The sequence below is a fragment of the Homo sapiens genome, chromosome 12, assembly GCF_000001405.40.
Source record: "Homo sapiens chromosome 12, GRCh38.p14 Primary Assembly".
Classification (NCBI taxonomy): domain Eukaryota; kingdom Metazoa; phylum Chordata; class Mammalia; order Primates; family Hominidae; genus Homo; species Homo sapiens.
The window spans coordinates 84,271,291-84,296,378 of record NC_000012.12 but is presented as its reverse complement, the minus strand read 5'-3'; the positions used below and the strand labels follow the sequence as shown (position 1 = coordinate 84,296,378).

The 25,088-nt window shown below is 34.7% G+C and overlaps 1 long non-coding RNA gene across 1 annotated transcript; it reads right to left on the bottom strand.

Annotated features, from left to right (window-relative positions):
- Positions 1 to 1,822: 1,822 nt before the first annotated feature.
- On the bottom strand, positions 1,823 to 25,088 carry LOC124902976 (uncharacterized). The gene is made up of 2 exons (XR_007063391.1): positions 24,973 to 25,088; positions 1,823 to 2,069 (listed from the first exon to the last, which is right to left on the bottom strand). It is a non-coding gene; the product is annotated as an uncharacterized LOC124902976 (long non-coding RNA).

Genomic DNA, 25,088 nt, shown 5'->3' with positions numbered 1-25,088 from the left:
AATAAAAAAACTTAAGATAGATTAAAAACTTGAATGTAAGGTCTAAAAGCCATAAACATTCTAAAACTAAGGAAATATCATTCTGGACATGAGCCTTGGCACGAATTTGTGATTGAATCCCCCAAAGCAATTACAACAAAAACAAGAATTGACAAGTAGGACCCAATTAAACTAAAAGACTTCTGCACAGCAAAAGAAACTATCAAAGAAGTAGGAGTTAAGTATTGCATACACATGGACATGAAGATGGGACCCATAGACACTGGGGACTGCTTGACAATGGAGGGTGAGGGGGAGTCATGCATTGAAAGGCTACCTATTGGATGCTATGCTGACTATCTTGGTGATGGGATAATTGGTAGACCAAGTCTCAGTGACACGCAATTTACCCATGTAACTAACCTGCACATGTGTTCCCTGAATCCAAAATAAAAGTAGGAAAAAAGAAAAGGAAAATAAATCAGAAAAAAAATGATGAAAACAGAATAAGAGATATTTTCATAATTTTACTGAGCAAATAAAATACTTGTGAAATTTATGAATAATGATGAAACAACAACAGATGAAAAGTAAGATAATAGACTTGACATTCTTAGGTTAATTATCTAAACCATAATTGGCAATGAACAAAAGGAATTTAGAGTTTGAAGACCTCACATCTCCTCAACAGAAAAGATAGAATATGCTGTGTTTCAACAATAGTGCTTCCTACACTCAATTTTTATCATGTAACTACTAGTTTCCTATCCCATTAGATTATAAGCTTTTTGAAGATAAAGAATGGGTACAATAGTTTCTTATGTTAGCCAACAAAGGTAATAATGAATTAAACAAATACTGACCTTTTTGATTTGATATTTCTGGGATATCCTGTGGATTCTCTATGTCCTTGAATCTACCATATTAAATAGTACTTGTATTATTTAATAGAATCTTGGTTTGTAATTATTAAATGTGTTATATTCCAGAATGGTTGGTTCAAATTTAGTCTTACTTAGTTTTAAGAATTACACTTTAGGAACTATATTCAAATTGAAATGTATGCAAGGGAAATAAATGGTTATAAAATATACAAACCATAATTGTTGGAAGGTGAGTCAGCTGTCCTGAAAATGGCTGAGTCAAAATAGGAAGAGTGGTAGGATAAAATGGTTGCCTTCAAATATCTGGAAAGCAGACTAACATAAGTGGTATCAGATACCACAGATATTGTTAGATCATATTATCTAGAGGGTTAATAAGTTCCATGAAAGACAAGGATATACTTTTCAATTGTCTGCCTCAGAAAGTAGAGAACTTCTATCACTGGTGGTCTCAAAGCATAGCCTGACAAAAGCAGACATTTGCCGAGGAATTAAACATCAGAAAGTTAAGGTTTTTTAGTATTTCATCTAACCCTTATATACTATAAATCTTCATTTGTGGTTAACCTCAGCAAATTTGCTCTTGGCATCTAAAAGAAAGTGATAGTTTTACTAGATAAATGTTCTGTTCATTCGTTGGTGTCAAACTATGAAATCAGCTTGTTCTTTCTTTGCATTATCTGTAAATAAAATTTCTCTGGGTTGAAGTCATTAATCTTTTCAGCTGTGCTGTAAATCTGACATCTCAAAAGGGTTCTTTCATTTTGGTAGAAATTTTATTTCATCTAACACATTGAAAAATGAATTCTCTATCACATGGTGAAATATGTAGTTTAATAATGCATCAAATTGTGTGTCAGCCAATAGATCTTTTGAACCCTCCGTTTGCCTCTACTTGAATGATTTTGGCCTTTGTTCTGTGTCATAAAAAGGGTCTTAACATGTGGAAGAAATCATCATAAACTTGAACAAGATTTTATTCTTATACACATAAACTTGAAGAAATTCTTGACAATGACAGGGCTATCAAAGGAATTTGGCATCCATCTGGGAAGGATCTCCTGAAGTCCCCCTCACCTCACCCCATTTGACTGATCCCCAGGCAAGTTGATTGGTGCCAACTTAAGTAAGGAGTATCTGGCCAGTAACTTTCCATAATGCTGTCAATCAAGGATCCAGATGCTGCCACCACGGCTGTTACTCTTGCTGGGGAAAAACAAAGCAAATGTGTCAACTAAGTTACTCAGACCTGCAGCTGTGCTATTCCCTATGCATCCATTGTACTTTTATTTTACGTCTGAAGAAAAGTAAAAAGAATCAGAGTTTCAAAAATCATGTCGAAAACATGGGACAGTCAAAAGTGCATTTACTTACCAATTACATCTCTTAGCTTAAAACAATATTTTCAGCCCTTGCTAGTGCTCAGTGTATTTGACCAGCATGTATGATACTGTTTTATTGTTGTGAAGGTCATGTTTCTTCTTTTGTGGTCTTAACAGCATTTCCCAACGTCATATTTAGTGAAATGCAAAGCCAGACCTAATGCATCCTCAGGCTTTGTATGATGTTAATACACTCAAGTTTCAATCTTCATATGAAAATAAAATAATACAATCAGTGAGATTGGATAAGTGATTTATTGTAATACTTTACTAGAATGTTTTCCAACTAGGTTGAGCTGATTAACAGACCCTGATGATAAGCTTTCATATGATTATATACATCATAATTTACCTGGCAATCTATCCCAAAATACTGTCTTGCTAAGTCACATTAAGGAAGGTAAGCTATGAACCTATTCTAAGATATGTTTTAATGGGGATGGATAATTAATCCTCATTTTGGGAAAATGGGTTGCAAACTAAATGAATTGTCAAATTTTATGTGTAAATATCCATTTATATACATATTGAATTTACAGGTAAACCTCCAAACATTCTATCCTTACATCAACAAATTTTAGTCCAGGCATAGTGGCTCACATCTATAATCTGAGCAATTTGGGAGGCAGAGGCTGGAGAATCACTTAAGCCCAGGAGTTCGGGACCTGGGCAGTATAGTGTGACCTTGTCTCTACAAAATATAAAAAAATTAGCGGGGTATAGTGGCACAAGCCTATATTCTCAGCTATTTGGGAGACTGAGGTGGGAGGAACACTTGAGCCTGGGATGTCAAGGCTGCCGTGAGTTCTTGCAGTGCCACTGCACTCCAGCCTGGGTAACAGAGAGAGACACTGTCTCAAAAATAGTAATTATTATTATTATTTTTAAAATTCCTTAAAACAATTGGATTTATCATAGGAATTATTCTTCAATAATTCAATTTCTATTGTATTATGTTGATCTATATTTCAATAGTTTTATGAGTATTTTAAAATGTAATTAGCTGGAAGATGCTTCAGAGACAATCAATAATATATCCAGTACTGTTTTTTCTTTCTATTTTATTTTAGAGTCACACTTGTCTAGTCTATTTTATCATTAGCATTCACATTGCATACCTATTATGTAGTGGAAGAAGAGCAAATGATTTATTCCTTCTTCTTGAAAAGCTAACATTAAATTGTATTAATTTTTTTAAATCTCAACTTTTTTATTTTTAACTTTTTTATTTCAAATACAGACTCTCTGTTCATTTTTTGATGGCCAATAATTTCTCCAATAAGAAAACCCAAAACTCTTTGAAGCATCGTGCTTGATATGCAAAAGGCCTAAAGGCCTATGTTATATAATCAGTCCTATCTCTACACCCTTCCCCTTTTAATCTATTCTCTACCCTGACATTTCCCAAGAGTATATCCTGTGTCAAAATATATTCAGTTTAAAAAATTAAACCAAATCTCTAATTCATTAATGTAATATTGTGAAATTTCCAAAGGAGGAGAGGATATAATATGCAGTTTTTCTTAACCTTATTTGACCACAGAAACCTTTCAGTGATGAACATATTTCTTTTATAATACTTTAAGAAACACATTGCACAAAATGCTTCAACAACATTTATGGCCGTTTTTTTTGTGTTGGACACTATGCAAAGTCATGCTTCTGTGCCTGTTGTAGGGAAAACCTTTGCTTTTCTCCTACTGGTCAAAATCTGTGTGTCTTCCTTCAAGGCTCAGTTCCATTGTCGGTTCTTTTTCAAATATTCCCCTTACTTCCACAGGCTATGCTAATTTACTACTCTCATTGGATCTTGCATAGCTCTGTGTTTTTCTCTATCTTAGTTTTCATATTATATCACCATTGCCATATTTTATCAAATCTAAGGCATCATTGGCTGTGTCTGGTTCTAAAATTTCTAATCCTCAAAGGAAACAAAAATCACTGTTGATATTGTTAATATGATATATAATGTTTCATTCTACTTATAATTATCTTATACTAGTATAAATATGCCTTTAGGCTTAAACATATATTTAATCATGTAGCACTTTTGTGTGTACATAAAAGGAAAACATAAGTGAAATAAACTTCTGAAACTGTTCCAAATTCTGCCTCAACTTTTACTAAATTATGTTTCAGCTTGAATTGTCAGTGTTTGATATTCAGAATCATTCTCTGTCATCAAGAGGATTTAGTAATTTGTTTCTTAAGACAGTGCTCCAGTATGGCCTCTGAGATTTTCTTCCAAGACACAGCCTCCCATTTTGTAAGTTTTGATGCAGATATCTTCTTAATCATACAACCAAATTCCATGCATGTTGAAACAATAAAAACGTGACATTGACAGATTGACAAACTTTGATTTTAATACAGTATTGATTGTAACATACATCCTAATTTTAAATGTTACAATATGAAAAATATGCACCTTATAATTGGTGACTTATAGGATTTTTCCGTTTCCCAAGACCTTCATTGCAGAACCTTATCATTTTCAGAAATATCTACCAGTACTCTCAACCCCTGTAGCTCTGACACGTGCAAACATTGTTAACACAGTTTTGAGAATCAATATGTTTTGTTGATTGCCTTTGTAAAAATATCCACTACTGAGTTCTATGACATGTATTTATTAAATACCTTTGATGTTCTAAACCAGAAGCTAAATGATGAATAGATGTGTGTAGGTTTGGACTAGTTAAACAATTTCTCAATGAGCAATTTCTCACTGTCTTTAAGAGTTACTCTTGGTAACAGGAAGTTCATAAGTACTGAACCAATGTGCTTTTTAAAATGAAAGAGTCCTGTCCAAGCTCTATTTGAAGTAAAGAAGTCTGAGTGTTTACAGTTATTCATCAATTATGTTTTATATATATATATAGTGATGAAATATATATATACTGTTATTTATCAATTATGTTTTATATGTGTGTAAATATATATATATATAGTGATGAAACAATAGCATTATCTACTTCCTGGTAATTTTCATTCATACTGACAGAAAATTTTCTGTATAAATTCAACTCAGAAAATAGTTTGACCCATTTATCGGAACATCCTTCCCATATATATGTTAAAAGCAAATAGAATTTGCTTCCTAAGATGTAAGTCTGTTTGTGTGAAAAGATGGAGAATTGACTGAAGTAGCTGAGCAGTCTTTATTGCTAACAGAAAATACTAACTTAAAAAAAGTTAACCTCATGTAAATAATATAATTCAGCAATCTCTTAACTTGATTTATTTACTGATAATTTGACATGCTATGAAAATCTGTCTGGGGTCATTTCCAAATTCAAAACAGAAAGTAAAGTCTGTAAAATCTACCTTCTAGGCAGATTTTTTTTTTCTTAAAGGCATCGTTTCTTACCAGAAAGCCACAGCATCTATTATGGGCCAAAGTATCATAATCCAGAAGTTTGGGACATTTTGGTTCTTGGGTTAAAATGCTATTTATAATTTGTTGTCTTTTTTTGTTGTGGAATATTTAAGATAACTTTTTAAATGTTGATGAAACATTTCAAATAGCATTTAGGAAACATTCAGTTTGAGACAAGAAGTATTTACTCATAAGTCTGCCTTCATTTAATGTTCATGAACAAGTGTGCTGCAGGATTTATTTACTGAATTTAATATGAACAAAATATGGCTGGGCATCAAAAGTTTACATAGGGATTAAAATAAGGGAGTTATATTTAGAAAGCTGTGTGAGGGAAGATAAACTTTTTTTTTCTCTTTAGCAAACATTAATGTCTTAAATGAAATAAAGATGAATAAAAATAGTAAGTTAAATATTGCAATCTACTGAGTCATATAAAATACTTCCATTCAAGGGAATAAAAATAGCAATGAGACTATTGTTTGGAATCTAAATAAAAATAGCTTTGATTATGTTTTACACATAATGACATTGTTTTTCAATTCTGTTTCCAGAACAGAACAATAAAAAATTAGTTTACTATAATTTGAGTATTGTCATAATAGACAATCTACGTGTGTGTTTGTTTGCACATGTTTGTAAGTTTGAACCTAGCAGAACTGAGTAAAGCCAAAAATAACATTATACTCATACATTTTGAATATAAAAATACAGGAGTTTAAACTAGTATTAAAATTTCCAAAATACATAGCATCATTCTTTTTTTATTTAATGAAATATATTATACTTCACAATTTTGCAAAGTGTTTTTTTCTTCTCTTGTAGTAAGCACTAAAATTATTTCATTTGATCATATAATTTGTTATTGACTAGTTGGTACAGCAATACATAGTGCTCAAATTCCTTTGATGAATTTTGACAATAGCCTCAATTATTTTGTGAGGCAAAGGTGATAACTGCTACACTACAGAAACCTTAATATCAATTATTTCTTAATTATAGCTAGCACACATATCAAATGCTAATCACCAAAAAAAATTGATTAATTTTAAGTTCTGTGTTATTCTAAGCAGCTAAAATGTTGAGTAACTGCATCAAATATTTTAAATGAAAATTTTCTTCTAAAAATGCCAGCATTTTTTCCTGCAAATACATCATGATTTTCTATATGAAGTCACAATAAAGTAATTTAATTTAAATATTTGAATCATTTCATTAAAACATGTAACTTCATAAAAATTTTAAAATGTTCAAAGAGAATACAAATCTTGACTTTTTTTCTGTATTTCCATTTTTATGTCATTTAATTATGGAAGAAACCTGAAAGTATAGTCTAAATATATATATATACACACACACATATATATATGTATATACACACACACATACATTTTTTTAATTGCAGAAGCCATTATTTTTTAATGGAGCAGAGCTGCCACAATGCACAAATCCAATGCTCCTATTCGAAAGAGGATTCATCTGAAACCTGATTTATTTATTGCTCATTCCAATATCTTTAAGTGTACCTTCTTAGCTATAAAGCTAAAAATAAACTAACAAAAAATAGCAACAATTAATATAATACACATGCACACACACAAAAAAGTGTACGTTTCTAAATTCACTTGTAGGTAGATTGTTTCAGGATAATTTCAATTCTATACTGTGATGTACATCTGTGATTTCTGATTCAGAATTGAAATGTGTTTGGGCAGAGAGAAGCATGGTGCAAGGCATTCGTTCATTGATACAAATTTTAGCAAGACTTCCTGAGATGCTGGCTTCCTGAGGCCTCAGCAGCATCTTGGTCAGTCATAGCAGGAACAGCATGACCCTGGAGGCTGAGGATTATTGGAGGAAGCTTCATCTAGAACCTACCACTCTAGGACTACAAAAAATTTGTAAGCCATCTTGGACTTAGTTATACTCATTTCTGCAAGAATTGTTTTCTTTTGTCTGCAACTGACCTGTTAGGAATGGTTTTAGCTGTCATTCTCAAAAAAAAAAATAAGCCTCTGTGACTGGTCATCTGACACTTCTTTAGATACAAAGGTAGTGAGCACTCATCTAGTATTAGAGAATGGCAAATGATCTAAATTATATTTTTAACTGGATCACCCTGTCTGCTATACCAAACAAAAGGCCAAATGTATCAAGGAACAAGTAGAGACACAAGTTAAATGGCAATTGCAGAAGAGATTATATTATCAAAAGTCATTCTATGATGCTAATGCCAGCATTATTTTAATACTAAAAACAATTAGAATAAATCCACAGAACTATATCCTCATCAACATAGTTACAAACATTCTTAATATAGTATTAGCAAATCTAATCCAACAATGTATAAAAAGGATAATGCATTGCGGCCAAGTTAGATTTATTCCAGTAGGTAAGATGAATGTAACTTTTGAAAAATCAGCGTGCAAGATATGTGTGTAAGATGGATGTCACTATTAAGAGAGTAAAACAGAAAAAAAGACCATCTCAATAGATGCCAAAAAAGTATTTGTCAAAATTCGACAATAATATATATTTTTAAAATCTCATGATATTCTGAAAAGAGGGGAAACGCATCAATATTTTAAGGGCCAAATATGAAAAGATTTCATTTCAATGCTGGCCACTTGAAATCATGGGAATGGAGTGAGTTGCCCGAAGATACTATGTAAAATGAGAAGTGAAGACCTAGGGGCAGTTCATCTGTCAAATTTAAAATCAAGTAAAATATGGGAAACTGTGAAAAGGAATTTAATAGTGAACAGATTTACTGAAAGAGAGCAAAAACAATGTTATTTTTGATGCTTAGGTGATCATGATGATGTGCGTGTGTGTGTGTGTGTGTATGTGTGTGTGTGTGTGTGTGTGTATGTGGTTTTCTTTAGAAGAGATGGTTAAATACTGGCAAACATCTTATTGAAGGATGACTAAATTGCGATATGGCAATTAGGTCATTACCTGTCTTTGGAAAAAGTAATTTAGGTAGCATTATAGGGTCAGGATGCCCACTGAGTGTTGTAGGTGAGGAATTTGAGCCAATATACATCAACTGTTCTACCAGCATTAAGAATTTTGGTGGCAAATAGTAGGCTCAATTGTGGTGGCTTCAGAAGGGCCTCTGACTCCTTTGAAACCCTTACTTAATATAAGAAAGAGAGGCAAATGTTTATTTCCTGAGAATAATGTGTCAATGGAAAGTAAGAGTTTATGAATACACAAGAGAGAAGGGCAATTATAAAAACACAATCTCGAAAGAGTAAGAATGGCAAGAGATCAGATGGTGGTTATAATAGTGTTGGTAATGAAGATTTAAAGTTCCTTTGTCTTTAAAAATATTAAGTAAAATAACTGTACTTGTACCTTTTTAGCATGGTTTTTAGAGAGTTGTATGTTTTAAAACTACTTAAAATACAGTAAAAAAAACTGTACAGATAAATCATTGATGAGACAGTGTTGGGCATTTTATAAACTTCAAATTAACAAGCAAGGATGAAATGTAAGTAGAACAATAACTGAGAATAGATCGATTGTTTCATCAGAGACACTGCTGTCTTGGGTTTTCTGCAGTCTTTTTCCAGGTCACAGAGCACATCAATAATTGTATTCTTTTAGAATCAGGAAAAGTGTTTTAGAATCATTGTAGATATTAGAGCTGTGACCATTTTAAGCCTACAAAGAGTACTCTTCCATTTTATTCTAAGATGTGCTTCTAAAAGCCATCATTTTTTATGAATGTTAATGTGCTAATAGGCACTGCCCTTTACCGAAAAAGTCTCAATTGAATTAGCATTACGGGTACTTTGGCAGTTATTTAAGAATGAAGAATATATTCTGTGGCCTAAGTATATTAAATTTGCTAGATGGGATTTTTGTTTCAAAGAAGCATTCTAAACCACTATTGTAACACCTAGCATTTTAAATATTAATGCCTTAGGTTTGGAGACAGTTCGTATAATAATTCGACGTAAGAAACAGAAACTATTAAAGAGAAAGATCACTTTTCTACCTACAGATCTTTTAGGTCTGATATGCTTTGCTTTGTTAAGAACATGAATGTTATTTTTCTATTGTTTACATTTACTTGCACCATTTTTACAATCACTATTCAAAGATAAACAAATAGAATAATTTATTTACTCTCATTATTTGAAGTCTAGAGGGTTGTTTATATTTAAGACTTAGTCATTTTAATTAAAAGTCTTCTTGCTGTCTTAGTAAATTCTGAACCAATAAATGAGCTCAAATTAATTTATAAGCATGTTTTTAATTATTCCAATTGAAAAGATGCTAGAATATCATGAATTTAAGGAGCGAATGCCTCTCTGAGGTAATTCAATTTCTCCTATACCACAGCTATAGAGTTGGAGGCATAGTAGGTATTTCATGACTACACATGGCAAAATAAATCTTAGGATAAAACATTCAAAGAAGAATGACAGAAAGTTAGAAGAAGGGAGGAAGATGGAGAGGGGACAGTAGAAAGGAAGAATAAGGGAATGGAGAGAAATAGGCCATTGGGTGAATGGGATTCTTAATATAAATTATCGTCCCTCTGGGTACCCTGAGCAAAAAAAATAATGACAGCAAGTTATAAGGATACATGGTTGTCTCCAAAATTCCAAGGATATGGACACAGCTGTGTCTCAGGAACAAACTGGAACCAGGGACTACAATACTTGCCAGGTTCATGAGTTTGTGACCAATCTGGAGACTCTTACCCAGGAAGGCCTTTGTTTAAGATATAACGTTCTGTAATTGCCCCCTTAAAATTCTTAGCCTGGTGCAGTGACCTGTGCTTGTAATCCTAATTACTCGAGAAGCTGAAGCAGGAGGATCCCTTGAGACTAGAAGTTTGAGACCAGCCTTGGCAACACAGTGATACCCTGTCTCTATATAAAATAAAATAAAATAAATGCTTAAGCATTTTATCTTTGAAATTGCACAGTATAAGTGAATTTTGATAGGACACAAGAGCATGTTAGGGCTTGAAGCCTACGTGCTTGTGTTGTCCCACCTTCCACTTCCTCTTCTCCTCCAGGCTACCCTCTCCTTGTTCTCTGGCACCCTGGCCTGCTTGTATTACCCCTCAGCTGCCCAGTAACCCCTGCTACTCCTGCCCCCTGGAAGCCTTGGCCCCTGCCCTGCCACTTATTCTGCAGATTGAGGCTTTCCTATACCATTAAGTCAGTACACCTACTAAGTGTATTCCAGTGCAGAGGTTACCATCCTTTGGGGGGCTTGTCACTGTGGGCTGGGGCTATGGGCTTGTAGGAAAGAAACATTGCTTTTTCCCTGCTCTCTGGGTCACAGTATCTCTGTCCAGTGGCTGGCAGAAAGAACAACCCAGAACTTCTGCTTCAGTAGGTACTTCTGAGGGTCCTTACTTGCCTTGCAAGTGTCATTTGTTCACAAGGGAGCAAAACATTACGAAAATTTTTAAAACACAATGACAGGTTAAAAGAGAGACTACCAAGAAAAAGTAGAAAAGTTTGTATTTCAGTGCCTTTTAATAGCACTTTTTTTCCTGCTTTTTAAACTAGAGTGCTCATGTTTTCATTTTGCACGGAGCCCACAAATTATGTAGCCAGTCCGGATACTAGCAGTACTTTTCCTATTCACCTCATCATTGTTACTTTCTAAATATCTGGTTTATTCTTCAATTTCTGGAAGTCAACTCATCCTCTGATATTCTAGCCCATATGGCAAACATGCATGTGCACTCACAAACACACACAAATATGATTTCTGGGGGTATTTTAGTTGTCATATAAGTCACTAAGAAATAATTTATTTCTTAGCAATAAATTCCCAGAGAAGAGATTTTTAATTGTCTTTGGTCAAGCTTAAAAATGCCTGCTTCCACTCTAAACACAAGAATTTTGTAGGTGGAAGAAAAGTTCTCAGAAAAAAGTGGAAAAATTATGTCAACTATATGCATCATAAAGGAAAACGCAGGCTGATAGGGTATTCATTTGAATAGGGATTTTCAAAGCATCCATGTAAAATTGCATTCTATAAATTAAAATGGTGATACACTAGACAAAATTCAAAATGAACCTACTATCTTCTAAAAGATATCAAAAAATTAAAGTAATAATAAGCAACTTGGTACACGTATAGGAAAATTGTACCTCAAAACTATGAGTATAGGTTAGTATCATGCCCTTGCTCCCCAAATATACACTAAAACCAAGACCACCTGTGTAAACATAACTTATCTGTTTACTGTAGGAAATATAAAAGTACAAACAAATACAGACCTTCACTGTTTGCTTTAGAATATTTGTATAAACCAGTTTAACCAAGCAACCAATTTTCTCATCTAGGCAAACAGCTTTCTTATTTGGATAACAGTTTTCTCACCTGGAAAAAAAATAACTTTTTTTTATCAAAATTTATCTCAGACCCTTATCCTACTACAGTATATGTCCTCTTATCCTAAAGTATAATTGTGTGAATTAGCTCAATTTGAAAGTTAATTACCTTGAAATTCTTATGTTGAACAATTTGTATCCAGAAACCCAAACCTATAAATACCCTTCTCTAACTTCTTTTTTGAGGTACTACTAAGACTTGTCAAGATAATGATCTTACTAGAGAAAATTTATATTTAACTCAGTTTTGCTTGAGCAATAGATATCTTAGGATATCTCCACGGGTTAGGTAAGTCAACAATCTTGAAAGTTCCATTTCCAACAAGCCAAACCTCTCCACTGCCATGGCTCAAAACCCTTGAATTGGAATGAGCAAGGTTCCCTGAGGCTTCTTAGGCCTTCTGCTTGGGGACCTCCACATTGTGGTGACAAGGCAGGTCCCTCACTGTGTCTTAGCTCCAATTTATTTCTGTTGAGCTCACAGATGTCTTCATCCCTTTGCATAGGAAAACTTGAAAAGAATGTTAGTAGGACAGAAACAGGCATACATCTAACATTTTCATCTCTCAAACCAGTTCTGATGAAAAATAAAATAAATATTTTCATTAGAGTGGCTTCTTTAAAAAAAAAACTTTGCCTTTGAAACTTATCAAAACAGTATAAAAGCTTTCTACGTGTTGCCTTCTTTTGTTTAAAAAAATTCTGGAATTAGAAAACATTTCATTTTAAACATTTTATTATTTGAAGACTGGCTTTATGGCTTTAGTAGTTCTGCAGTTAGAGGTGGCCACATTAGTTTGGGGGTCTGAGATACAAAGTACATAAGCAATATAGTTAATTAATTTTTACCAAATTCTCAAGGGATCATTTTAATTTAAGTCCATTCTTCCCCCAAGTTAGACTTAATTCTTACATGTGTTCACTCTATAACTATTATTTATGCGTTGATATTTCTAAATGGCCAATTTTACCAAGTATAATTTAAAATTTTAGTACCTCCTTTGGAGAATTGCCAATGTAAGCCAAATTGTTTTCTTGATAGGAACATTCGAACTAAGTGGAAGCAAAGATTTGAACATCTAATGATTTGTGTTTTTTATTGTTCTGAGGAAGCTTATACTCATCTGATTGAATCCTATCATTGTAATTACTTTTCTCTGGTTTAATATGTTCCCTATATCTCCTCATGACTCAGGATCATGACCCCTCTTGTAGGTCAGAAATTATTGAGGCTATATTACATCTCAAAGATTAAACTCCCTTCAGAAAAGACCAAGCCCGTTACGGTTGAATTTAAACTCTAGTCTCAGTCTGAACTGAGATTCGGTGTTAAAGACATTCCAAAGCCTCGATAGGATACTGAGAAATTTACGGAGAAATTTAGATTTGTTCTAGTAACGAAAATTCCAGACCTATAGCAACTGGTTTAGATGTTAGTTTGTAGGAGCTTCATATGAAAACTATTTAAAAGTGAGTCTGGGAAAATTCTGAGACTCGTCTGAAAGTTCCCAAATTGCCCAGGACATAGATGGTTTAAGAAAATATGTAGACGAATTCCAGAAGATTGTTTTCTACTTTGTTTCCTCAGATGTTTTGTAGTCTTTATTTATTCTAACAGCAAAAGCCCTACTCACACTAGGGTTAATTTTGAGATGCGATCCATTCTATGAGCAGAAAAAGGATAAATTGACAAAAGATGGGTAAAGTTATGTCCATAAAATGATTTTTCTAACTTAATTTAAAATTGGAATCATTGATGTACGTATTAAGAGTTGGAACTTTGATCTTTTTAACTTCCATGATCTCAGAGTTTCTACCCTAGAATAAATTTATCCAGATGAAATTATGTCAGTCATTGAGGAAAGAATGAAAAGAAATGTATTTTGTAAAAATTAATGTAGTAAAAACTAAAATTGTAACTTAGTTAAGAACAAAAAGGTTATGAAAATGCACTTATCTTTTTTCTTCTTATTATTATTTTATAAATGGAGTCTTACTATGTTACCCAGGATGGAGTACAATGGTGCTATTATATGTCACTGTGACCTCAAACTCCTGGGCTCAAGAAATTCTCCCACCTCAGCCTCCCAAGTAGCTGAGATTTCAGGCATAAGCCACCACACTAGGCCAGTAACTTCTAAATATGTAACAAGGTGTGTATAAAACACATGGGTCATGCACATTTTCAGATAATTAAGCCATTTCAGAACTTTAGAAACCAGAGTTTAAGTGTTTTATTATAAAATATCTTACTATTCACCTAACAAAATCCAGACATCTGTGTTTTGTCAGCATTCAATTTTCTATTTTCATAAATTGTCATATTCAAAGGTATCGGGTATTTTCCATTTATTTTTAAGAAATATATATGTTCTGTGGTATAATGTAATATTGGACACATGTTGGTATTCTGATTAAATCTTTTGTTTACTGAAAGATAAGCATTGCTCATACCTTAGAATACCCTAGAATATATATTTTTTTCCTAAAAAAATTAAATTTATATAAGTGTATAGACATTAAGAGGACAGGTTCTGAACTCACACAGTCGGAGTTCAAATCTTGACACTTAGGGCCGGGCGTGGTGGCTCACACCTATAATCCCAACACTTTGGGAGGCCGAGGTGGGCGGACCACGAGATCGAGAGCATCCTGGCTAACACGTGAAACCCTGTCTCTACTAAAAATAAAAATAAAAAAAATTTAGTCGGGTGTGGTGGTGGGCGCCTGTAGTCCCAGCTACTCAGGAGGCTGAGGCTGGAGAATGGCATGAACCCAGGGGGCAGAGCTTGCAGTGAGCTGAGATCACACCACTGCACTCCAGCCTGGGCAACAGAGCAAGACTCCATCTCAAAAAAAAAAAAAATTCTTGACACTTAATACTTCCATTATGTTGGACCTTAATCAACCTCTCTGAGTCACAATATCCTAATTAGTTAAATAGGGTTAAAACACATAGTATTGTTAGGAGCATTAATTGAGCTAATATAATGCAAACTTATAATAGAACTTGAATTAACATGTAATATGTATTTTGTTATTGTTGTTGTTATTTATTACACATTTTATGTAAGAATAGTTGTTAAATGAAATTCAAATATTGTACCCCCTACAAAAGACTGCAAATTTTCTCTTGATGATGTAGAAATAACTCAGGATCTTTTAGAACTATAATTAACATTTAGGATCTGTTGTTTTGTTATAACTATACAGATGATATTTGTAGGAAAAGAAGTTCTGGGAAATTAATGTCAGAGTATGAAAGAAAAATATGACCTTTCTCAGAAGAATTATGTTTCTGGCAGCCATAGAGAATATTCCCTGAAGATCATGCCCTGAAGAAGAAGCTCTTCAGTTTATTAATATATAATACCTCCACAATTGCCTTACATCTTGGATGTATTGTTAGGGTGTCAGATTTTGTATTAGATAGCATTCACTAAGTTCCTCTTCAGTACTGTAACCTTGGTATCTCAGTGGCTTACCATCGCCAGTGTTAATTTTTGATTCTCAATGTATAGGATTGCAAGTCACTGTAGATTGGCTTTAGCTTACTTCTGTGTCTTCTTTGATCTAAGATCCAAACTGAAGGAGTATCTTTTAACTGTTACACCTACGTTTTATTGTGGTAGGAAGGAATGGGCATAAAAGAGCTGAAGAATCATGTGATACCCCTTAAACTTTCTGCTCTACATAGGTACAGTATATTTTACAACTGTTCACATTCAATTGGCTAAAGCTGTTCTTAGAGCCGAGGAATGTCACTGGGGCGGGGAAGTAAACTCCATCCCTCCAGGAAGCCTCTATAAGTCATAAGGCAATTCACTGAGATGTGTAATATGGGAAAGAACAGCAAATAATTTTAGAAAAATTTTACAATTTACCACACTTAAATCATTCTTTTCACTGTATATCTCTTATATGCAGTAATGTTTTGCTTTGTTATATAATTTGAAAATCAGTTTGTTGAATTGCTAATAAAACTTGAAAATCTATGAAATGCTAATGGTTAATTGTAAAGTTATTCTAATATTTAAATTAAGCACTCTATTTCAACACTGTTTAACTGTTAAATGTCAAAATATGAAATATGTTGGTTTTTTAATCTGCTTCTCTTTGTCAGTAATTTGAAAAGTTTATATTTCATTTTAAGTTCCAGTGGTTACATTTATAAGTATTCTTTTGTTTCATTAGAAATGCTGATTGACTTCCCAGAATGAACTGTAAAGAAATTATTATAATGGCACCTCCTCAACCACCCATCCTGCTTTCTATTACCAGAATTCGACATGGATTGTGATATGGTTTGGCTCTGGCTCTGTGTCCCTACCCAAATCTTATCTCATATTGTAATCTTCAGATGTCAGGGAGGAGTCTGGTGGGAGGTGATTGAATTACGGATGGGGGGACTTCCCCCTTGTAGTTTTCATAATAGTGAGTGAGTTCTCATAAGATCTGGTTGTTTGAAAGTGTGTGGCACTTCCCATCCTTGCTCTCTCTCTCTCTCTCTCCTGCCTCACCATGGTAAGACATGCCTTGTTTCCCCTTCACCTTCTGTCATGAGTGTTAAATTTCCTGAGGTGTCCCCAGCCACACAGAACTGTGAGTCAATTAAACCTTTTTACTTTATAAATTACACAATCTCAGGTAGTTCTTTATAGCAGTGTAAAAATGGAATAAAACAGAAAATTGGTACTGGGAGAGTGGGACACTGCATAAAAATACCTGAAAATGTGGGAGCAATTTTGGAACTGGGTAACAGGCAGAGGTTGGAACAGTTTGAAGGACTCAAAAGAAGACAGAAAAATGTGAGAACATTTGGAACTTCCTAGAAACTTGTTGAATTGGCTTTGTCTATTGTAATATGGACAGTGAAATCCAGGCTGAGCAGGTCTCAGATGGAGATGAGTAACTATTGGGAACTGGAGCAAAGGTAACTCTTGCTATGCTTTAGCAAAGAGACTGGTTGCATTGTGCCCTGCTCTAGGGAATCTGTGGATTGTTGAACCTGAGACAGATGATTTAGGGTATTTGGCAGAAGAAATTTTTAAGTAGCAAATCATTCAACAAGAGGCCTGGCTGCTCCTAACAGCATACAATCATATGCATTTACAAAGACATGGTCTGAAATTGGAAACTATGTTTAAAAGGGAAGCAGAGCATAAAAGTTTTAAAAATGTGCAGCCTGACCATGTGGTAAAAAAGAAAAACTTATTTTCTGGAGAGAAATTCAAGCCACCTGCTGCAGAAACTTTCATGAGTGAAGAGGATTCTAACATTAATGGTCAAGACAATGGGGAAAATGTCTCCAGGACATGTCACAGACCTTTGTGGCAGCACCTCCCATCACTGGCTGGAGGGAAAAATGGTACTGTGTGCTGAGCACAGGACTCTGCTACTCTGTGCAGCCTCAGGACATGGAACCCTGTGTCCCAGCCACTCCAGCTCCAGCTGTGGCTAAAAGGGGCCAAGTTACAGCTCAGGCTGTTGCTTCAGAGGGTGCAAGCCCCAAGTCTTGGTGGCTTCCATGTGGTTTTGGGTATGCCAGTGAACAGAAGGCAAGAGTTAAGACTTGGAAGCCTCTGCCTAGGTTTGAGAGGATGTGTGAAAATGCCTGAATGTCCAGGCAGAAGTCGGCTGCAGGGACTGGAGCTTTCTTTGAGAACCTCTATTAGGGCAGTGCAGAGGGAAAACGTGGGGCTGGAGCCCCTTCACGGAGTCCCCGCTGGTGCACTGCTTAGTGGAGCTGTGAGAAGGGAGCCACTGTTCTCCAGACCCCAGAATGGTAGATCTACCTACAGCTTGCACTGGGCCCCTAGACAAGCCATGAGCACTCAATGTCAGCCAGTGAAAGCAGCCAAAGGGGTTGTACCTGGCAGAGCCACAGGGTTGGAGATGCTCAAGGTTTTAGGGGCTCAACCCTTGCATCAGCATGTCCTGGGTGTGAGACATTGAGTCCAAAGAGATCATTTTGGAGTTTTAAGATTTAATGACTGCCCTGCTGGGTTTCAGACTTGCATGGGACCTGTAGCTGCTTTGTTTTAGCCTATTTATCCCTTTTGGAATGGGAGAATTTACCCAATGCCTGTAGCCCCATTGCATATTGAAAGTAACTAGCTTGTTTTTGATTTTACAGGCTCGTAGGCAGAAAGGACTTGTCTTGTCTCAGATGAGACTTTGGACTTGGACTTTTGAGTTAATGCTGTAATGAATTACAACTTTGCAGGACTATTGGGAAAGCACAATTAGTTTTGAAATGTGAGTTGTACATGAGATTTGGGAGGGGCCGAGGGTAGGAATGATATGATTTGGCTCTGCATCCCCACCCAAATCTCATTTCCAATTGTAATCCCACATGTCAAGGGAGGGGTCTGGTGGGAGGTGATTGAATCAGGGGGCAAAGTTTCCCCGTAATGTTCTCATGATAGTCAGTGAGTTCTCATGAGATCGGGTTGTTTGAGAGTGTATGGCACTTCCATTTTCTATCTCTCTCCTGCCACCATGTGTGAAGGTCCCCGCTTCCCCTTTGCCTTCTGCCATGATTGTGAGTTTCCTGAGGCCTGCTGTCATGGTTCCTGTAAATCCTGTGGAACTGTTAGTAAACTAAACCTCTTTTCTTTATAAATTACCCAGTCTCAGGTAATTCTTTATAGCAAGGTAAGAATGGACTAATATGATATGTTTATGTTACTCCACTGTCAAATGCCCTTAAATAGACTTCCTTTTACTTGATATATAATTTTAAAATCATACATTCATAGTTTAAATATTATTAAATATGAAAAAAACAGCATTTTATATTACTTCCTACCAAATTTATTTTATGTTGGGTCTCTTTCTGTTGCAAGAAACAGAAAATTTGGATTAGAAAGAAGAATTATTTGGCTTAGCAGCCCTTCTGTTACTAAAATCTGGAGCTCAATTAATGTGTTTAAGGTTCTTTCTCAATTTCCCCTTTTTGATTTTACAATGTTGAATTTTTCACAATTCCCTTCTTCTCCTGTGGTTGCAAAATGGCTGCAGTGACTGGGAAGCTTACATATAATCTAATTAAAAAGAAAAAAAATATTCTTGCAATCAAAAAAAGTTGTCCTCTGTGTCTTAAACAGTGATTTTTCAACCAGGGGCAATTTTATACCCATGAAGCTATTTGGCTAAATTTAAAGACATTTGTCTGTGTCACAATGGACATGGAGTGCGTAGATGCTACTTGAATCTAGTGAGCCGAGACCAGGAATGCTGCTGAACATCCTACAGTATGCAGGATAGGCCCCTATGGCAAATAATTATTTGGCTGAAAAATCTCAATAGTGCCAAGTTTGAGAAACCCTGGTCTAAGGTAAATGATATGCTTATACCTTGCCAATAATTGCAAGTAGGAGAAAGATATGGTCTTAAATATAAACCTATCTGAGTGGGATTAACTCTCTTACATCATGAGAAAGCAGGAGATGTGGCCACAAAAACACCGAGTTCAGCTTTGCCAGAAATGATTATTGTTCAATAGGCATCTACTACAATACTTTTCCATCTTTACTTTTTGAGTATGTATAATTTTTCTATGTTTTTATGGTTTAAAATATGTACACTCTATGCTGTAATCATTTCCATAGTTGTTTTTGGCAGTAGTTCTACTTTTACTCAGAGTCAATAATTCTGCATCTTCTCTATCACATCCTAATAATAAAGTTTATCCACTAATTGTTTGTTCAATATACAATCATGGGGTAAAATCTCTGAATTCTTTGGATTTGAAAATAGCATTTTTACCAAAACAGTAGTGCATTAGTTATCTCTTCCTGTACAATTAGCCACAATAAAATATATTAACTTAAAATGCCATCCATTATTATTGCTCATGAGTTTACAAACTACATGCTTCTGATGATCAAGATCAAGTTTCAGCTTAACCTCAGCTTCAAACCCATTCTTACATCCACTAATCTGTGATGTGAGGGCTGGGACTCTGCAAACCACATTCTGTTCTGCCAGTTGGCTCCCTGTTAGGCTCTGCCAAATGGGATGCTGGAGGGCGTCTGGAAGTCTGGAAGAAGAAAAGATTGCTCCCACCTGTTTGCTTCCCATTCTTGACAGTGTCCTGACAGCAACGCTTCTTCATCCTGGGAGCAGTGATTTATTTTAACCTGAAAAACCAACTTTGTCTTGCCCCTTCAGATAACCCTGGTGAATCCGCATAAGTTTGGGAATGCACATCTATCAGAGGTCAAAATTTCAGGGCTGCCTGGCATCTCCTCCAAGCTTCTAAGTGGTGATAACCCCAACCTCTGCCCTAAGGGTGGAAGCCAGTCTTTTTACTATTCTGATTTCATTTGCTGAGCATTCTTTTCAATAGGAATACAACATTTTTTTTTTTTTTTTACTAAATATTCTCTACTAAAATAATTGGTGTCATACTGTCTTCTGACTGGATCCTAGTTGCTACAGTTACTCCTTACCATTCTGAACTGTTGTTGAGATTTTCTTCCCACAATTGCTCCCTTTTCAAAAATCACAATTGCATTACTTTGTAAAGGGAGGTAAAGGAAAGAAGTAGAAGTTCACTTCCCTTCAAGAGGACAAGACTTAACAGAATATTGTCACAACCCTAATAAAATTCCTCACTAGTGTTCAGTTTATTATTGAATCAATCCCGTTAGTAACAGATTACTGATCAAATATTCCATTTGATGTCCCTCTTTCACTTTCCACAAATTTATGCAGCCTCCTGTCAACTATTTACATCAGAGCCAAACACCAAGTAACTGGGCCTGCAAAAGGAAATTGATATGCCATTTACCAGTTTTGCTGCTACAAGTGATATCTTTTACGTTGTATTTCATGTAAGAAATAAGTTCCATTATCTTTCTGATATTTAATGTATGACATGACTAGAAAATGCCTTCACTCAGAAACTTGCCAGAGTCTCTTCCTAACACTGTTTTTGATAGCTTGTTTTTCTCTGGGTGTCACACAGTTTAAAACTGAGATATAGAGTCCCAATATTTTATTGTGTGGAGATTTGATAAATATTCGCAATGACATTTCAGGACTATTGGCAGATATGGGCAAAGTGAAGAACCGTGCCAAAGTGCAACACTCTTTAAACAGGTCCTGGATGCAGTCTGGCATTGTCTAATCACTTTCTTAAGCCACCATTTTAAAATTGTTATCGCTTTCAGCATATTTATATTTTCTGAAAAATAGAATTCTTACTGTCTCTGAATTTGGTTAGGAAAGTATGGCTACCTGTATTAGGGTTCTCTAGAGAATTAGAACTAATAGGATATATTATATATATATATATAATATATTTTATATATATATATATCTCTTCTGTGGATTTAAAACATGGAAGCACAGTACTGATAGCTTTTGTCTTTCCAATTTATTTTTGTTGTTGGTTTTGGTTGGAGTGCTTAATAGCATCCACATATATATGGTACTGTAGTCACATCTCCAGTATTGGAATCACAGTCCCTATACTTCAAATCATCCACATTTTTCAGAGAAAAGAGTCAATTTCCCAAATTTTCTCAATGAAGTGAGGCCAGTTTTCTACCCTAAAGGAGATAGGAGTGATAAGCTGGTAAATATTTAACAACTTACTTTCTAGAGGGAAAAAATAGATGAATAAACCCTCATTTGTAGTATTTGCTGATTTTTATGGTGTTAAAATTCACAGCATGTTCTGCTTGAAGCTATCAGTGTATTGTCACTAAACACAGAGTTGGGACAAAATCACTCTCAAAGGGAAATACAAGTTGGCTGCAGCACATCACTGTCAGACATAAAACAGTCAAATACTCTAGTCCAACTTCAAGGCACTTCCCTACCCATTAATCCAAACTAATTCCAGGATAGGCAGCTCTGCCTGTTTCGGGAATCAAATGATAGTCTTCAAACTTGTGAACTGTACATTTGATTAAGCCATACTTATTGATTAATCTGTTAGGGATATTTTGTTCTAAAAAACATTTCTGACATTTATGCAGCCAAAAAACACATGAAAAGATGCTCACCATCACTGGCCATCAGAGAAATGAAAATCAAAACCACAATGAGATACCATCTCACACCAGTTAGAATGGCAATCATTAAAAAGTCAGGAAACAACGGTGCTGGAGAGGATGTGGAGAAATAGGAACACTTTTACACTGTTGGTGGGACGGTAAACTAGTTCAACCATTGTGGAAGTCAGTGTGGCGATTCCTCAGGGATCTAGAACTAGAAATGCCATTTGACCCAGCCATCCCATTACTGGGTATATACCCAAAGGACTATAAATCATGCTGCTATAAAGACACATGCACATGTATGTTTATGGCGGCACTATTCCCAATAGCAAAGACTTGGAACCAACCCAAATGTCCAACAATGATTGACTGGATTAAGAGAATGTGGCACATATACACCATGGAATACTATGCAACCATAAAAAATGATGAGTTCATGTCCTTTGTAGGGACATGGATGAAATTGGAAATAATAATTCTCAGTAAACTATCACAAGGACAAAAAAACCAAACACCACATGTTCTCACTCATAGGTGGGAATTGAACAATGAGAACACATGGACACAGGAAGGGGAACATCACACTCTGGGGACTGTTGTGGGGTGGGGGGAGGGGGGAGGGATAGCATTAGGAGATATACCTAAGGCTAAATGACGAGTTAATGGGTGCAGCACACCAGCATGGCACATGTATACATATGTAACTAACCTGCACATTGTGCACATGTACCCTAAAACTTAAAGTATAATAATAATAAAATAAAATAAAATAAAAAAACAAAACAAAACAAAACAAAAAGAAAACATTTCTAAGAAGACATATTAATACCACTAGCATGCTTAAACCTTCTGAAAGAGTATCATATTACTTTGGGTATTTCCAAATACAGTATTTGATTACTTAATGTCACACATTGCTCAGAAACAGATAGCAATTATTGTAAAAAATACATATAGATCTGAATGTTTTAAACATGACATCATAATTGTTCATATTATTTCTTAAATTTATTTCTTACTTTGCAGTAACTCAACAACAGATTCAGTGATTAAAATGCATACACATGATATTCAGCAAAAGCTTCTGATAGAAACCCTAAAAAGTTGAATATTTGATGCTGATTATTGAATGAATCAATGAAATGAACAAATTAAACATTTTTGACTGTTTTTCTCTGATTTCTTTTTGGTTCTCTATCCAAAATTCTATTCTCTTCCACCCTTCCATTAAACTCTCCACCCATTCTCATGGTTTTCCAAAGCTTTTGTAAGCATATACTTGATGTGTTTATGAGCATGTGTCTCCACTCATGTTTATAGACCTTGAAATAGTTTCTTTTCTCCTTTTACAGATGAGAACATCATTTTTTTTTAGAGCATAAGGATGTAATTTCTGAAAAATGAAATGAAAATTTTAAAAGATTATAAGGTAGAAAAAATAGATGCAAAAAATAGATGTCCTAGTGAAAATAGAAGACATTTTCTATTCTAAATAATAGTGATTATAGAAACAGCTTTCAATTGTTCTATGATTATTGTTGTTTTGTTATGATCGCAGCCCAATTACAATGTACTATAGTAGTCTACCTAATCATTAAAAAAATTGCTTTTTATAATAAAGACAACTTAAATATTCATAAAAATTCCCTGTGAACAAACCATTTTTTTTAACTTGGAATGTAGTTGGCAGTGTTTAATTTTTTATATATAAAACATTAAATTTTGTTAGAAAATAGTTGTGTTTCTAAATACACGTAGTATCTAATATGACTAATTCTGTTAACAATAGTTAATTTCGAAATACTTCCTATATGCCAGATACTGCTTTAAGTTTTATTTGTATGTGTGTGTACAGTATATGTGTGTGCGTGTATGTGTATTCTTGTTTAATCCCTGAATTAAATTCTGAATTAAAGCCTGCTTTCAGATGAAGATATTGAAGCATGAAGAAATTAAGTCACCATGCAGGTCACATGCTGGTAAGTAATGAAGCTGAAATTCAAGGTCAAGCAACCTGTATCTTAGCCTGGGCTCTTCAGAGTAGCACTACACAGCACCTCTATCTCTAATAACAAGTGATCAGCTGGGATGGTGAAAATATAAAACATAATGCACTAAGAATTAAATAGATTTTAGAAACAGTTAGATTCTATACCATAAACTTTAGTTCTTTTCTTTTCTTTCTTTCTTTTTTTTTTTTTTTTAAGATAGAGTCTTGCTCTTGTTGCCCAGGCTGGAGTGCAATCAATGATGAGAGCTCTGCTGACTCCAACCTCCGCCTCCCGGGTTCAAGCGATTCTCCTACCCCAGCCTCCCAAGTAGCTGGGGTTACAGGTGTCCACCACCATGCCAGGCTAATTGTTTGTATTTTTAGTAGACCAGGGGTTTCACTATGTTGGTCAGGCTGGTCTTGAACCCCTGACCTCAGGTGATCAACCCACCTCGGCCTTTCCATGTATTTCTTTATTATAACTGCCTCTTTCAAATAAATAAGATTAAATATTATAGGAATTAAGAATTTTTTACAAAACTCATATTAATGTACACATAAATCTTGTAGACTAATATAAAAATATTGTTTAATTTGTGTTTTACTTACAGAATTACTGAGGTATTGTTACCCTTTTCTTCAATTAACAACATTTCATTTTACAGCATATATATATGTTCTTATATGTTACGGCATATTAACATACTATATAGTTTGATTATGTTACACTACATAATATCTTTAATACTTCTGCATTAATTTATATTCCATCACTTATTTATGATTAGTGCAGTCATTATAATAGTCACTGCAATAGTTTTCCACATGGCAAGACTGATTACCACCTCCACCTTACATCATTACAATTCACATTTTCAGTGATCACTTCATTTTCTTCATATGCAGAATTCTTTCACACATATTAAAGTACACCCTGATTTTCATCTAGGGGCCACTTTTCCACTACTCACCTAATGTAAATGCTGGAGACTCCCACATGCATGAAAAACAGAAGGAGAGCACTTGCTGCCTGTGGAAGAGCAAGAGAGGGAGAGAAACCAATAGTGAACAAGATTTCAGCCAAATG